Source organism: Homo sapiens, chromosome 16, assembly GCF_000001405.40.
Source record: "Homo sapiens chromosome 16, GRCh38.p14 Primary Assembly".
In the NCBI taxonomy this organism is placed as follows: Eukaryota; Metazoa; Chordata; class Mammalia; order Primates; family Hominidae; genus Homo; species Homo sapiens.
Window position 1 is genome coordinate 70,832,686 of NC_000016.10, and position 13,247 is coordinate 70,845,932.

Genomic DNA, 13,247 nt, shown 5'->3' on the forward strand with positions numbered 1-13,247 from the left:
ACCAAATGAAGAGGGGAGAATGAATATTCCAGCAGTGGAAACGGTGTATTCACAGGCCTCGTGGAGGGAGGGGGCAGGCCTGCCTGTTTGAAGGAGGCCTGGCTGAGTTCACTTGCTGGGGTCACTCCTGCCACTGGGCCACCCCGGGCAGCAGCTACTAACCTCTTTTACCGCAGGTGGTCCCACGCAGACTCCAGACAGGGTTAGACTCAGAGGACTGCCTCCCTGGATGTAGCAGAGAATGTTTTTACAAAGGCTCTCCTTTCCCACCTCGGTGGGATGGTAGGTCACTTCAAAAGAAACCTCCATGCCTGAGGTAATATAGCCTTCTTCTGGGCTAATGGAGAAATGAGGCTCAAATTTTTTGATGTCCCATTTAAACCTTTTCCAAGAAAAAGAAGAAAAGAAAGAGAGTTTATGGATGTTGTAAGGGTGTCCTCAATGCTACTGAGAACAAGAGACTGCCTAGGCTGAGGTTCACCTCCCTTGAGTCTATCCTAGCACCTAGGAGGAGAAAGATCTCTGCCAGACAGAGCAGAAGCACTGGGGAATGTGGGCCAAGGTCACTTCCTGGGTAGGTGGACTTGGCTCCTTTGCAGAGCTGAGCCAAGGGCAGGAAGTGGCTGCATCTTATTATCCACGAGTGACACATCAGGGAACATATGTATGAACACACATACACATGTGTCGTGTACTTAAGGTCACACAGCTAGGAAGTGGCTGGGCTAGGACAGAAATCCTTCTGGGACTGTGGTCTTAACTGTTCCCTGCACTGCTTCCTGGTTCAGATCCTGGGGGATGGCGACAATCCCTTCCCGTGAGAGTTGCCTCTGTTCTGGGTGGCACTGGTATCCCATGGCCCTGTGTGGTCCTCCCTCTGTGGTTGGGCACTCGCTTATCTGTGAAATGGGTTGGTAGCAGTCTTGGTCTCATAGAACTGTAGTTGGATTAAATGATGTGTGCCATGTCAAGGCAGGAAACAGGCATGGACTAAATATCTTCTGTTATCTCAACTGTAGTAATCATAGTAGCAGCAATCACCCCAGTGAGGCCACTGCTGTCACATCTTGAGGGAAGCAGGGGGATGTAGAAGGGAGAGGACAGAAGTAAAAAGTGATTGCACTTGCAGAACAAGTCCAGGGCAGATACAGGGACAGCAGCCTCTGGGGCAGCCTCAGGGTGGGAGACACTGCTCCCTTACCTTGCACCCACATCGCCTGTGTTCATCATGAGGATGCGACGTGTGGCTTGCGTCTGATACACCACGGGTCCAAAGGGAATATGTTCCTGGTCCAGTGAGATCTCCAGGGCCTGGCAGCAGCCGCTAAGGAGGAAGAGGGGGCGCAGGAGCCCCATGCATTCCATGAACACTTCCTCAGAGAAGGGAGGGACACGCTTCTTCGGGGCAAAGATGACTTCCAGTTTACAGACTTCTTTGGGCTTCAGTGTGATGTTGTGGAAGGGCGCCAGGGTAAGGACCTGAATGAAATAGCACCCAGAGTCAGCAGCTGAGGGTGGGAGGCCCCTAAGGCCTCGGTTCCCGGAGTTCTTGCTGCTGCGATTGGAACAGGGGTCAGATCTCACTCCTGCTCTCCCATCAGCTGTGTATGCTTTGGTAAATTACTTCAACTTTCTGTGACTTACTCTATGTTGAAGATTAAGATCATCTCTATAAAATTTGTAGCACATAATAGATATTTAATAAGTATCATTTCCCTTTCCTGACCCTTTCCTAACTTATTTTGTGTACTTCCTTCTTTCTTCCTCCTCCCTGATACAGGAAATAGTAATGGGAAATAACAAACAGTTAGAGCTCTGGCACTTCTCAAGGAGTCTTCCCTGCCTCAGTTTCCCTGTGTGGTTTTTAAAATGCAGATTCCGGTTGGGTGCCGTGGCTCACGCCTGTAATCCCAGCACTTTGGGAGGCCGAGGCAGGTGGATCACTTGAGGTCAGGAGTTTGACAACAGCCTGGCCAACATGGCGAAACCCCGTCTCTACTAAAAATACAAAAATTAGACGGGCTTTGTGGTTTATGCCTGTAGTCCCAGCTACTCAGGAGGCTGAGGCAGGAGAATCACTTGAACCCAGGAGGTGGAGATTGCAGTGAGCTGAGATCACACCAGTGCACTCCAGCCTGGTCGACAGAGTGAGACTCCGACTCAAAAAAAACCAAACAAACATATATATATGTGTGTGTGTGTGTGTATATATATATACACACACACATATATACACACATATATGTATATATACACACATATATGTATATATATACACACATATATGTGTGTATATATATATATATACACACATATATATATACACACACATATATATATGTTTTTTTTTTTTTTGAGATGGAGTGCCGTGGTGCGATCTCGACTCACTGCAACCTCCGCCTCCTGGGTTCAAACAATTCTCTGCCTCAGCCTCCTGAATAGCTGGGATTACAGGCACCCGCCACCATGCCTGGCTAATTTTTTGTATTTTTAGTAGAGACGGGGTTTCACCATCTTGGCCAGGCTAGTCTTGAACTCCTGGCCTTGTGATCCACCTGCCTCAGCCTCCCAAAGTGTTGGGATTACAGGCGTGAGCCACTACGCCCAGCCTAGGAATGTATCTTAAGCACAGAGTCATGCATGCACAAAGGCTTAAGGAGAAACACCTGAAATGAACGAAAATAGAGAACTGGGCTGTCTACACAACGGAGATGTAAATAAACAAATGACAATGAATGACATGGAAAATGAAATGAAAATGCAAAATGAAAATAATGTTCGTTTTCACAAAAACAGTGTGGGACTAGTGCACCCTGTAAAGCCCTATACTGTTTTTGTGAAAATGAACAGAGGGAGTACAGGGAAGGCTCTTAGAATGGTCTGGCACATTACAGATGCACAAGAAATGTGAGCTGCTAGTGTTGCCAGCATGGCCATCCTCATCATCAGGGAGCATGAAGGGGCCGCTAGGAGCCCCTCTGAGCACCAACCTTGGGTTCCTGGAGTTCTGGAATTGTGAACAGAATGGACTGATTAAATGTGAGCTGGGCCAGGCTGTTGTTCATGATGGAAACTGTTCTTTTCACAACCTGCCCTGGTAGGACAGCTCCCAACTTCACAATCCTGTTGGCTGGATCTAGGACTAAAATCTGTGGGACAAGAAAGAGTAGGAAGAAGAGTTCATTAGTTAAAGGGAAAAATAAACATTATATGTCTACTCTGGTGAGGCAAGGGTGGTTCCTTCTCTTTCTGTGCCCTCACTTCTTCATATTGGGTGGGCATCTGCCTACTCAATAAGCATTTAAGTGCCTCAAGTGCCCACTGAACTCCTCATCACACAATTATACAAGTACAACTGGGTCAAAATATATGTAGGAAAATCTCAGGGCACCTTGAGAGCATATTACATGGGGCTGAAACTAGGCTAGGGGGCTCAGGGGGCCTTTCCGAAGATGGCATGTATACATCAAGAGCTAAAGAAAGGTATGAGCTAGTCAGTTTCAGCCAGAGTGAGTGTGGAATTGGGGAACAACCTAAGGCAGGGAGACAACCTGTGGCCAGGCCCTGAGCCAGAGGGAGTGGCCCAGTGAAGGCCTGAGGCTGGGAGCTAGGACTTGAGAAGATGACTTCAGAGAGGTGGCCAGGTCTTGCAAGGCCTTTTAGGCCATTGCTGAGTGAGAAGTGGGAAAACTGGGCTTCATTCTGGGAGCAATGGGAAGTCAGTGAAGTATGGAGTGTTTGTGAGAGAGCTCTGGCTTCTTTACGGAGAATGGGCTTGAAGAGGGCAAGAAAGAAAGCAGGAGGGAGAGATGATGGTGGTTGGATTAGAACAGTGGCAGTAGAGGCAGAGAAAAGTAGTTATGCTTCCAAGTCCTCAGGTAAGACACTGATTAAAATGGTGCCTGGGTCAGGCCAAGGCCAGGCTGAGCCTGCCCTCCAAAATGGCACTGACCCACAATGAGCAGCACCCACTGGTCACTGTCATGGTCAGTCACTAAATTGCACCCCTCCACCCAACTATCTTTAAACCCAGCCCACATGTTTCCATTTTGTCTAAAAAGGCAAGAGAGTCTGTCCCACCAGTCATGAGCTCTTGGATGTCTGAGAACATGTGTAAGTCACTTGTGCATCTTCCCAAAATATCCAATACATAATGGGTGCTAAATGAACAAGTGAAAGACCAATAGGAAAATGAATGAATCAATGGCATCAGAAGCGACCTTGTCTCTAGCTTGGGTCCAGACACATTAGCTGGTAATGTCCTGTTGCTCCTATGGCTTGATGGGAAGGCTGCCAGGAATACACCCCTCCCCTGGTTGCCGAAATATGCTATGCATTCCTGAAAGTCTTGGAAGGATTTTAATCTTCCAAAACCTTCTATTAAAATACAGATAATCCCACCAGACAAGCACCTTACACATTTACTAGACACAAGAAGGAAATGAATGAGCAGCAGAATATGACCATTCCCTTTCTATCCAGAGTGCCTCAGTAAAAGAAATGCCTTGAACCAAATATCATCCAGGGATCTGTGGCTGGCTGGAGAATGCTAATCAATGGGGTGTTAAGGAAAGATGTTCCATCACTGAAACACATGTCTGTGTACATTGCTTAAAAATGTTAAAAAAAATGTTATCTATTAAACCTGAAAACAAACATGCCCTGATGCAGGAGGAAAAGGATATACTTGGGGTGCTGAGTCTGAAAGTCTCAAATTTCTCCAAGAAAAAGAATATTTCTCTAGTGTCTGTAATTACCTGTATCCTTTGATACAGTAAAGTTTGGTATTGAATAAGATCTATGATTCAGTGAGTCTGATCTGGTGATTTGCCCCTTTCTGTTATTAGGAACATCATCTCAGTGGGACTCGCTGACCTACAACAGAGCAGCCTGGGGCAGAGAAGCAGAGGGGCTGGAAGGGTGAAGGGGTTCTGGGGGGCAAAGAAGGATGAGAAGGGTAGAAAGGAGGGTGCCACGCCTGAAGGCCTCCCGACTGTCTGTTACCTTCATTTTGGTACCCTTCCCTTTGATTTCGACTGTTTGTTGTGAGAGCCCATTGATTTCAAAGGGAATGAGTTCTTGATAGTTGATACTTTCTCGAGGATAAAAAGTTATTGGAATCTCCAATGTGTTTCCTGGCTTTACCACATCAACACGGGAGTTCACCTCGAGGTGAGTGGTGTTGGTGTACAGACAATCTATGCTGCAGAAAATCAAGAGGAAGAGGCGTAAGCTCCAAGAAGTCTGACCCAGAGGGGCAGATGCTGTCTCCTTGTCTCTTTGGGCTGGACACTGATGGGTTTCCTGCCCTGCTGTCCTAGAGTCACAGAAGTCATTTAAGAGCTAGAAGGGAGCTCAGCAATGACCCAGCCCATGCTCTCTTAGGCACAACCAAGTTGCTCCAAGTCACATCCTGAGATCCTGGCTGAACTGGGTTTCAAACTCAAGGCTCATCACCCTTTGCCCAATATTCTTCACTCTACCGATTCTGTATTTCTTTCTTTCTTTCTTTCTTTTTTTTTGGAGACAGAGTCTCACTCTGTCACCCAGGCTGGAGTGCAGTGGCATGATCTCAACTCACTGCAACCTCCACCTCCCAGGTTCAAGCGATTCTCTTGCCTCAGCCTCCTGAGTAGCTGGGATTATAGGTGCATACCACTGTGCCCAACTAATTTTTGTATTTTTAGTAGATGCAGGGTTTCACCATGTTGGCCAGGCTGATCTTGAACTTCTGACCTCAGGTGATCCACCCACCTCGACCTCCCAAAGTGCTGGGATTACAGGCCACCGCGCCCAGCCTGATTCTCGATTTCTTGATAATGCATCTCATGGTTTTCTACACGAGGGTTTTGTACCCTCTCATAAGAAGGAAGTGCTTCCAGAAGTAATTAGGTAACAAGGCACAGTAGGGAGGAGTATATGTTCTAGAGTCAGGCAGAGAGGAGTCTGGATCTAGGCTCCATCACTAATTACCCAAATGATCTCTGAAGAGTTATGTGGCCCACTTGGGTCTCTGTTTTCTGATCTGTAAAATGGGGGTAATGATAACTATTTCTTAGGGCTGTTGTGAGGATTAAATGAGATTAAGTGACTGAAACAGTCATTAAATAGGGCACAGAGGAAATATTCCATAAAGTGAGCTATTATTATTATGACTAATTGTTCAACCAGAAGGGATCTTAAAAGATCATGTCCACCCTACTCCACATGTGGGTAGGAAGGCACCTAGGCCTTTTCATTACAACCTCTCCTTCTCTGCCTTACAGTCTGTAGAGAAGGAGTCTAGCTAGGCCAACATATAGAGCTCAATGCCTTAAGCAAAGTAAGACTGAGATTACATTAAATCATGCAAGAAGTATAGATAGATAAGATTTAAAATTAGTATTTAAAATTACATGACACACTTATAATTTAATATTCAGGGTACTAATAATAATCATAACAGCAGCAGCAGCAGCTAACAATAACTGGGCATTTCTTATGTTCCAGGCAGTGTTCTAAGCACTGTTCCTAGGTGAACTAATGTAATCATCCTAATAGTCTTATATAGATGGTATTATTATGACTACCATTTCAGGCAAGGAGACAGAGGCATAGAGAGTTTTAAAAATTTGCCCAAGATCACACAACTAGGGAAGAGTTGAAATTTGAACTTAGATCTGTGCTAGCCAATATGGTGGCCACTAGACACATGTGGTTATTAAAATTAAAATTAACATTAATTAAAATAAAATAAAAAATCAGTTCTTTAGTTTCGCTAGCCACATTTTAAGTGCTCTGAAGCCACATTCAGCTATAGGCCACCATATTGGACAATGCAAAAATACAACATTTTCATCATGATGGAAAGTTCTCTAAAGTACTGATAGATAGCTTTGAGTAAACACAGGTCTTTGGGCCAGCCCTTGGAGATTCTATCTCATTAGGTCTTGAATGGGGCTCAGAACCTTGGACTAGAACATCCCACACAGGGATGGTGCCGAGAGGCTGGATTTGAATCAGAAAGCTTAGGCTCAGTACAGGTCTGCTATTTACTGCAAAGCCACTGGCCTGAGAAATTTACCTTTTAACTCTTCAAACCTCAGTTTCCAAGTCTATTGCACGACAAGATAAATGGAAGTCATAAAACCTCTCATTAGGTCCTTTGGCATTGCTCTACATACTTCACAAAGAGGATTTTTAGCAGGGTAGCTCGTGGCTATCCAAGTATTAGTGTTAGTTATGGGGACAGGGACCTAGGATTCATACCCACTTTTGTTTGACTCTTTCCCATAATCATTTTTTTTTTTTTTTGTCTTGGCAGGGCTTCACCTGTGTGGAATCTGTAGGACCCACAAGCAGCTAGAGAATCATTTGGAGGCTCTGGAAGCCTGCTTACCTCATAGGTGTTTCTTCCTTGTTGGTAATTACCAGGGTTTGTTTGTATGGGGGCATCCCAGCTTGATAGATAAAGCAGGTCCCAAAGTTGTAGCTGGTGAAGGAGAAATGGATAGCCGGGCTCACAGCACAGCCTGAGATGTTGCACATAAATGTTGGACCATGGCTGATCTGTGAGGAGGAAATGGCAGGGGGACCATGATTAGGAGAAGTAGGAGGAGAGGGCTCTTAAGTCCTCAGGTGAAGCAGGAAAGCAGTTGGTGCTTTAACAAATACAGGTCTCAGGGTGCCATTTCCAGAGATTCCAATTCAGTAGGTTAGAAGTTTGTGTATTGAAGAAAAGTTCCTCTGTAATCAGGCCCTACATTGCCTCCCACTTTGCTCTTGCAGCAATGATTCAGCTTGAAGGCTCAGGGGTATACCAGGCACTGCTAGTTACTACCCAATATCCGCTCCCCATGGCTTCCTTCCTAGCAGGACTCTGATTGGATGCCCATGTGCCTAGGTGCAAATGCTTCATTTTACACCTTCCTTTGAAGCTCAGGATGGCCATCAGACATAGTTCCAGTCATTGAGATGTAAACAGAAGAGGACAAGAGGGTGTTCTATCTTGAATAAAGAGGCAAAGCCTTTCTGGGGAAGTTCTTTGCCTTCACACTCTTCCCCTTTCTTTTCACTCTGGAATGCAGACATAGGATGTCAGGTAGAATGGTCATCTTGTGACCAGGAGATGACAAGAAGGAGAACAAGGCTAATATGCCAAGGATGAAAGAGTGGAAAGATGGAAAGAGCACAGGTCATCATCTGGACTCTCAATCACAAGGTAATATGTGACTCATTGGTACATGAAGTTAATTTGCTCTTCACAAACTCCTCATAATGTGAATTTTCACAAATTGATAATTGATTTCAAATAAATTATCTATTATTCATTCTAAGCATCATTAGAATAAACATTATTAGAATAAACAGTAGAATAAACATTCATTTTAAACATTATTAGAATAAGTCAGCAGTCATTGGTACAAGCTATCATAAACAACTTTATACATTTAAAAACATTTTCTTATTCAAAGCTTTTATTTTTCTTTTCTTTCAACTTTTAAGTTCAGGGGTACATGTGCAGGATATGCAGGTTTGTTACACAGATAAATGTCCAAGGCTTTTAAAGTGTTTACATTTTGTGACTGATTCAATGAAAAGGATGTAAATTTATCATCTTCAACTCTTCTGCCAACCAGAGTAGAAAGATCTTGTAACATGTTACGTTTCTGTTTGCTCTAAGAAATGTAAGTTCTGAAAAAGTTCTCAAAAGGAATAGGTCCCTTCTGAAGCCACAAACCGGGCTTTTCTCAGAGAAGATGGCTGCAACTTTGCTGCTGAGTTTCAGGCCAAGAAAACAGTGGAGCTTCCCGAACTCTCAATGACCAGTGATGCACCTTGGATTTTTTCATGGCTTGAATGTTTGTCTCCTCCAAAACTCATGCTGAAATTTAATTGCCATTGTGATGGTATTGGGAAGTGGGACTTTTAAGAAGTGATTGGTCATGAGGGATCGCCCTCATGAATGGACTAATGCCATCACCGTAGGAGTGCGTTTGCTATGGCAGGAATAAGTTCACTCCTTCTTGCTCTCTCTCTCTGTCTCTCTCTTCCTCCTGCCCCACCCCCGACCTTTCTTCCCGTAACCATTGCCCTTTCATCATGTGATGCCATCTGCCATGTTACGATGCAGCCATAAGGCCCTCACCAGATGCTGGCAACTTGATATTGAACTTCCCAGGGTCCAGAACCATGAGCCGAAACATTTCTATTCATTATAAATTACCCAGTCTCAGGTATTCTGTTATAGAAGCACAAAACAGATGAAGACAGGTTCCAGTGGTTTTACACCCATCTTTCTATCAATCACCTTCTTCCTGAGGATTTGATAAAGATGATGTGTTAGGCTGGGCATCCCAAATTTCTTTCCATTGTGGTTGAAGAACATACTTTGCACGATTTCAATCCTTTTAATTTATTGAGGTATGTTTTATGGCCTAATATCTGGTCAATCCTGGACAATGTTCCATGTTCACTTGAAAAGAATGTCTATTCTCCTGCTGTTAGATGAAATGTTCTGTATATGTCTGTTAGGCCTAGAGCTTTCATAGTGCTATTCAAGTCTTCTTATTTCCTTGCTGACCTTCTGTCTAGTTATATCTATTGTTTAAAACTAGGTACTGTAATCTCCAACTATGATTGTTGAATTGTTTATTTCTTCCTTCAATTCTGTCAGTTTTGTTTCATGTATTTTGGGACTCTGTCGTTACATGCATGTTTATAATTGCTATGTCTTCTTGATGGAGTGATTCTTTTATCATTATAAAATATCTTTATCTCTAGGAATAATTTTCAATCATTGAAAAATGTCTTTATCTATCGCTAGGAATAGTTTTTGTCTGTAAGTCTATTTTGTTTGACATTAGCATAGGTACCCTAGCTCTTGTTGGTTACTATTTAAATGCTATATCTTTTTCTATCCTTTTACTTTAAATCTATTTGTGTCTTTGAATCCAAAGTGAGTCTCTTGTAGACAGCACATAGTTGGATCATGATTTTTCCCATTATTCTGCCAATTTTTATCTTTCTATTGAAGGGTTTAACTCATTTAAATTTAATGTAATTACTGATAAGGTAAAATTTTATGTCTTTTTTCTATTTGCTTTCTATATATCATGTCTTTTTAAACAAATCACTAGTCAATTATGTCTTTTTTATTCTTCTATTCCTCCATTACTGCCTTCTTTTGTGTTAAGTAGATATTTTCTAGTGTACCATTTAAATTCCCTTGCCATTTGTTTTACTATATTCTTTTGAGTTGTTGTATTAGTGGTTGCAAGGAAGATTACAATTAACATCTACATTTAAAACAATCTAGTTTGAGTTGATAACAACTTAATTTCTTTTTTTTTACATAAATTTATTTATTTATTTATTTATTCTTTTTTTTATTATACTTTATGTTTTAGGGTACATGTGCACATTGTGCAGGTTAGTTACATATGTATACATGTGCCATGCTGGTGCGCTGCACCCACTAACTCGTTATCTAGCATTAGGTATATCTCCCAATGCTATCCCTCCCCCCTCCCCCCACCCCACCACAGTCCCCAGAGTGTGATGTTCCCCTTCCTGTGTCCATGTGATCTCATTGTTCAATTCCCACCTATGAGTGAGAATATGTGCTGTTTGGTTTTTTGTTCTTGCGATAGTTTACTGAGAATGATGATTTCCAATTTCATCCATGTCCCTACAAAGGACATGAACTCATCATTTTTTATGGCTGCATAGTATTCCATGGTGTATATGTGCCACATTTTCTTAATCCAGTCTATCATTGTTGGACATTTGGGTTGGTTCCAAGTCTTTGCTATTGTGAATAATGCTGCAATAAACATACGTGTGCGTGTGTCTTTATAGCAGCATGATTTATAGTCCTTTGGGTATATACCCAGTAATGGGATGGCTGGGTCAAATGGTATTACTAATTCTAGGTCCCTGAGGAATCGCCACACTGACTTCCACAATGGTTGAACTAGTTTACAGTCCCACCAACAGTGTAAAAGTGTTCCTATTTCTCCACATCCTCTCCAGCACCTGTTGTTTCCTGACTTTTTAATGATTGCCATTCTAACTGGTGTGAGATGGTATCTCATTGTGGTTTTGATTTGCATTTCTCTGATGGCCAGTGATGATGAGCATTTTTTCATGTGTTTTTTGGCTGCATAAATGTCTTCTTTTGAGAAGTGTCTGTTCATGTCCTTCGCCCACTTTTTGATGGGGTTGTTTGTTTTTTTCTTGTAAATTTGTTTGAGTTCATTGTAGATGCTGGATATTAGCCCTTTGTCAGATGAGTAGGTTGCGAAAATTTTCTCCCATTTTGTAGGTTGCCTGTTCACTCTGATGGTAGTTTCTTTTGCTGTGCAGAAGCTCTTTAGTCTAATTAGATCCCATTTGTCAATTTTGGCTTTTGTTGCCATTGCTTTTGGTGTTTTGGACATGAAGTCCTTGCCCATGCCTATGTCCTGAATGGTAATGCCTAGGTTTTCTTCTAGGGTTTTTATGGTTTGAGGTCTAACGTTTAAGTCTTTAATCCATCTTGAATTGATTTTTGTATAAGGTGTAAGGAAAGGATCCAGTTTCAGCTTTCTACATATGGCTAGCCAGTTTTCCCAGCACCATTTATTAAATAGGGAATCCTTTCCCCATTGCTTGTTTTTCTCAGGTTTGTCAAAGATCAGATAGTTGTAGATATGTGGCGTTATTTCTGAGGGCTCTGTTCTGTTCCATTGATCTATATCTCTGTTTTGGTACCAGTACCATGCTGTTTTGGTTACTCTAGCCTTGTAGTATAGTTTGAAGTCAGGTAGTGTGATGCCTCCAGCTTTGTTCTTTTGGCTTAGGATTGCCTTGGCGATGCGGGCTCTTTTTTGGTTCCATATGAACTTTAAAGTAGTTTTTTCCAATTCTGTGAAGAAAGTCATTGGTAGCTTGATGGGGATGGCATTGAATCTGTAAATTACCTTGGGCAGTATGGCCATTTTCACGATACTGATTCTTCCTACCCATGAGCATGGAATGTTCTTCCATTTGTTTGTATCCTCTTTTATTTCCTTGAGCAGTGGTTTGTAGTTCTCCTTGAAGAGGTCCTTCACATCCCTTGTAAGTTGGATTCCTAGGTATTTTATTCTCTTTGAAGCAATTGTGAATGGGAGTTCACTCATGATTTGGCTCTCTGTCTGTTGTTGGTGTACAAGAATGCTTGTGATTTCTGTACATTGATTTTGTATCCTGAGACTTTGCTGAAGTTGCTTATCAGCTTAAGGAGATTTTGGGCTGAGACGATGGGGTTTTCTAGATATACAATCATGTCGTCTGCAAACAGGGACAATTTGACTTCCTCTTTTCCTAATTGAATACCCTTTATTTCCTTCTCCTGCCTAATTGCCCTGGCCAGAACTTCCAACACTATGTTGAATAGGAGTGGTGAGAGAGGGCATCCCTGTCTTGTGCCAGTTTTCAAAGGGAATGCTTCCAGTTTTTGCCCATTCAGTATGATATTGGCTGTGGGTTTGTCATAGATAGCTCTTATTATTTTGAAATACGTCCCATCAATACCTAATTTATTGAGAGTTTTTAGCATGAAGGGTTGTTGAATTTTGTCAAAGGCTTTTTCTGCATCTATTGAGATAATCATGTGGTTTTTGTCTTTGGCTCTGTTTATATGCTGGATTACATTTATTGATTTGCGTATATTGAACCAGCCTTGCATCCCAGGGATGAAGCCCACTTGATCATGGTGGATAAGCTTTCTGATGTGCTGCTGGATTCGTTTTGCCAGTATTTTATTGAGGATTTTTGCATCAATGTTCATCAAGGATATTGGTCTAAAATTCTCTTTTTTGGTTGTGTCTCTGCCCGGCTTTGGTATCAGAATGATGCTGGCCTCATAAAATGAGTTAGGGAGGATTCCCTCTTTTTCTATTGATTGGAACAGTTTCAGAAGGAATGGTACCAGTTCCTCCTTGTACCTCTGGTAGAATTCGGCTGTGAATCCATCTGGTCCTGGACTCTTTTTGGTTGGTAAACTATTGTTTATTGCCACAATTTCAGCTCCTGTTATTGGTCTATTCAGAGATTCAACTTATTCCTGTTTTAGTCTTGGGAGAGTGTATGTGTCGAGGAATTTATCCATTTCTTCTAGATTTTCTAGTTTATTTGCGTAGAGGTGTTTGTAGTATTCTCTGATGGTAGTTTGTATTTCTGTGGGATCGGTGGTGATATCCCCTTTATCATTTTTGATTGTGTCTATTTGATTCTTCTTTCTT

General features: G+C 42.4%; 1 protein-coding gene across 1 annotated transcript in view; it reads right to left on the bottom strand.

Moving 5' to 3' along the window:
• Positions 1–13,247, bottom strand: part of HYDIN (HYDIN axonemal central pair apparatus protein) — a 428,639-nt gene that overhangs the window by 30,602 nt on the left and 384,790 nt on the right. Inside the window, exons 76-80 of the mRNA NM_001270974.2 lie at positions 7,379–7,548; positions 5,005–5,203; positions 2,991–3,149; positions 1,202–1,479; positions 163–382 (exon numbers count right to left, since the gene is read on the bottom strand). Coding sequence (NP_001257903.1) covers positions 163–382; positions 1,202–1,479; positions 2,991–3,149; positions 5,005–5,203; positions 7,379–7,548 — 1,026 coding nt within the window. The remainder of the gene's footprint in view (positions 1–162; positions 383–1,201; positions 1,480–2,990; positions 3,150–5,004; positions 5,204–7,378; positions 7,549–13,247) is intronic.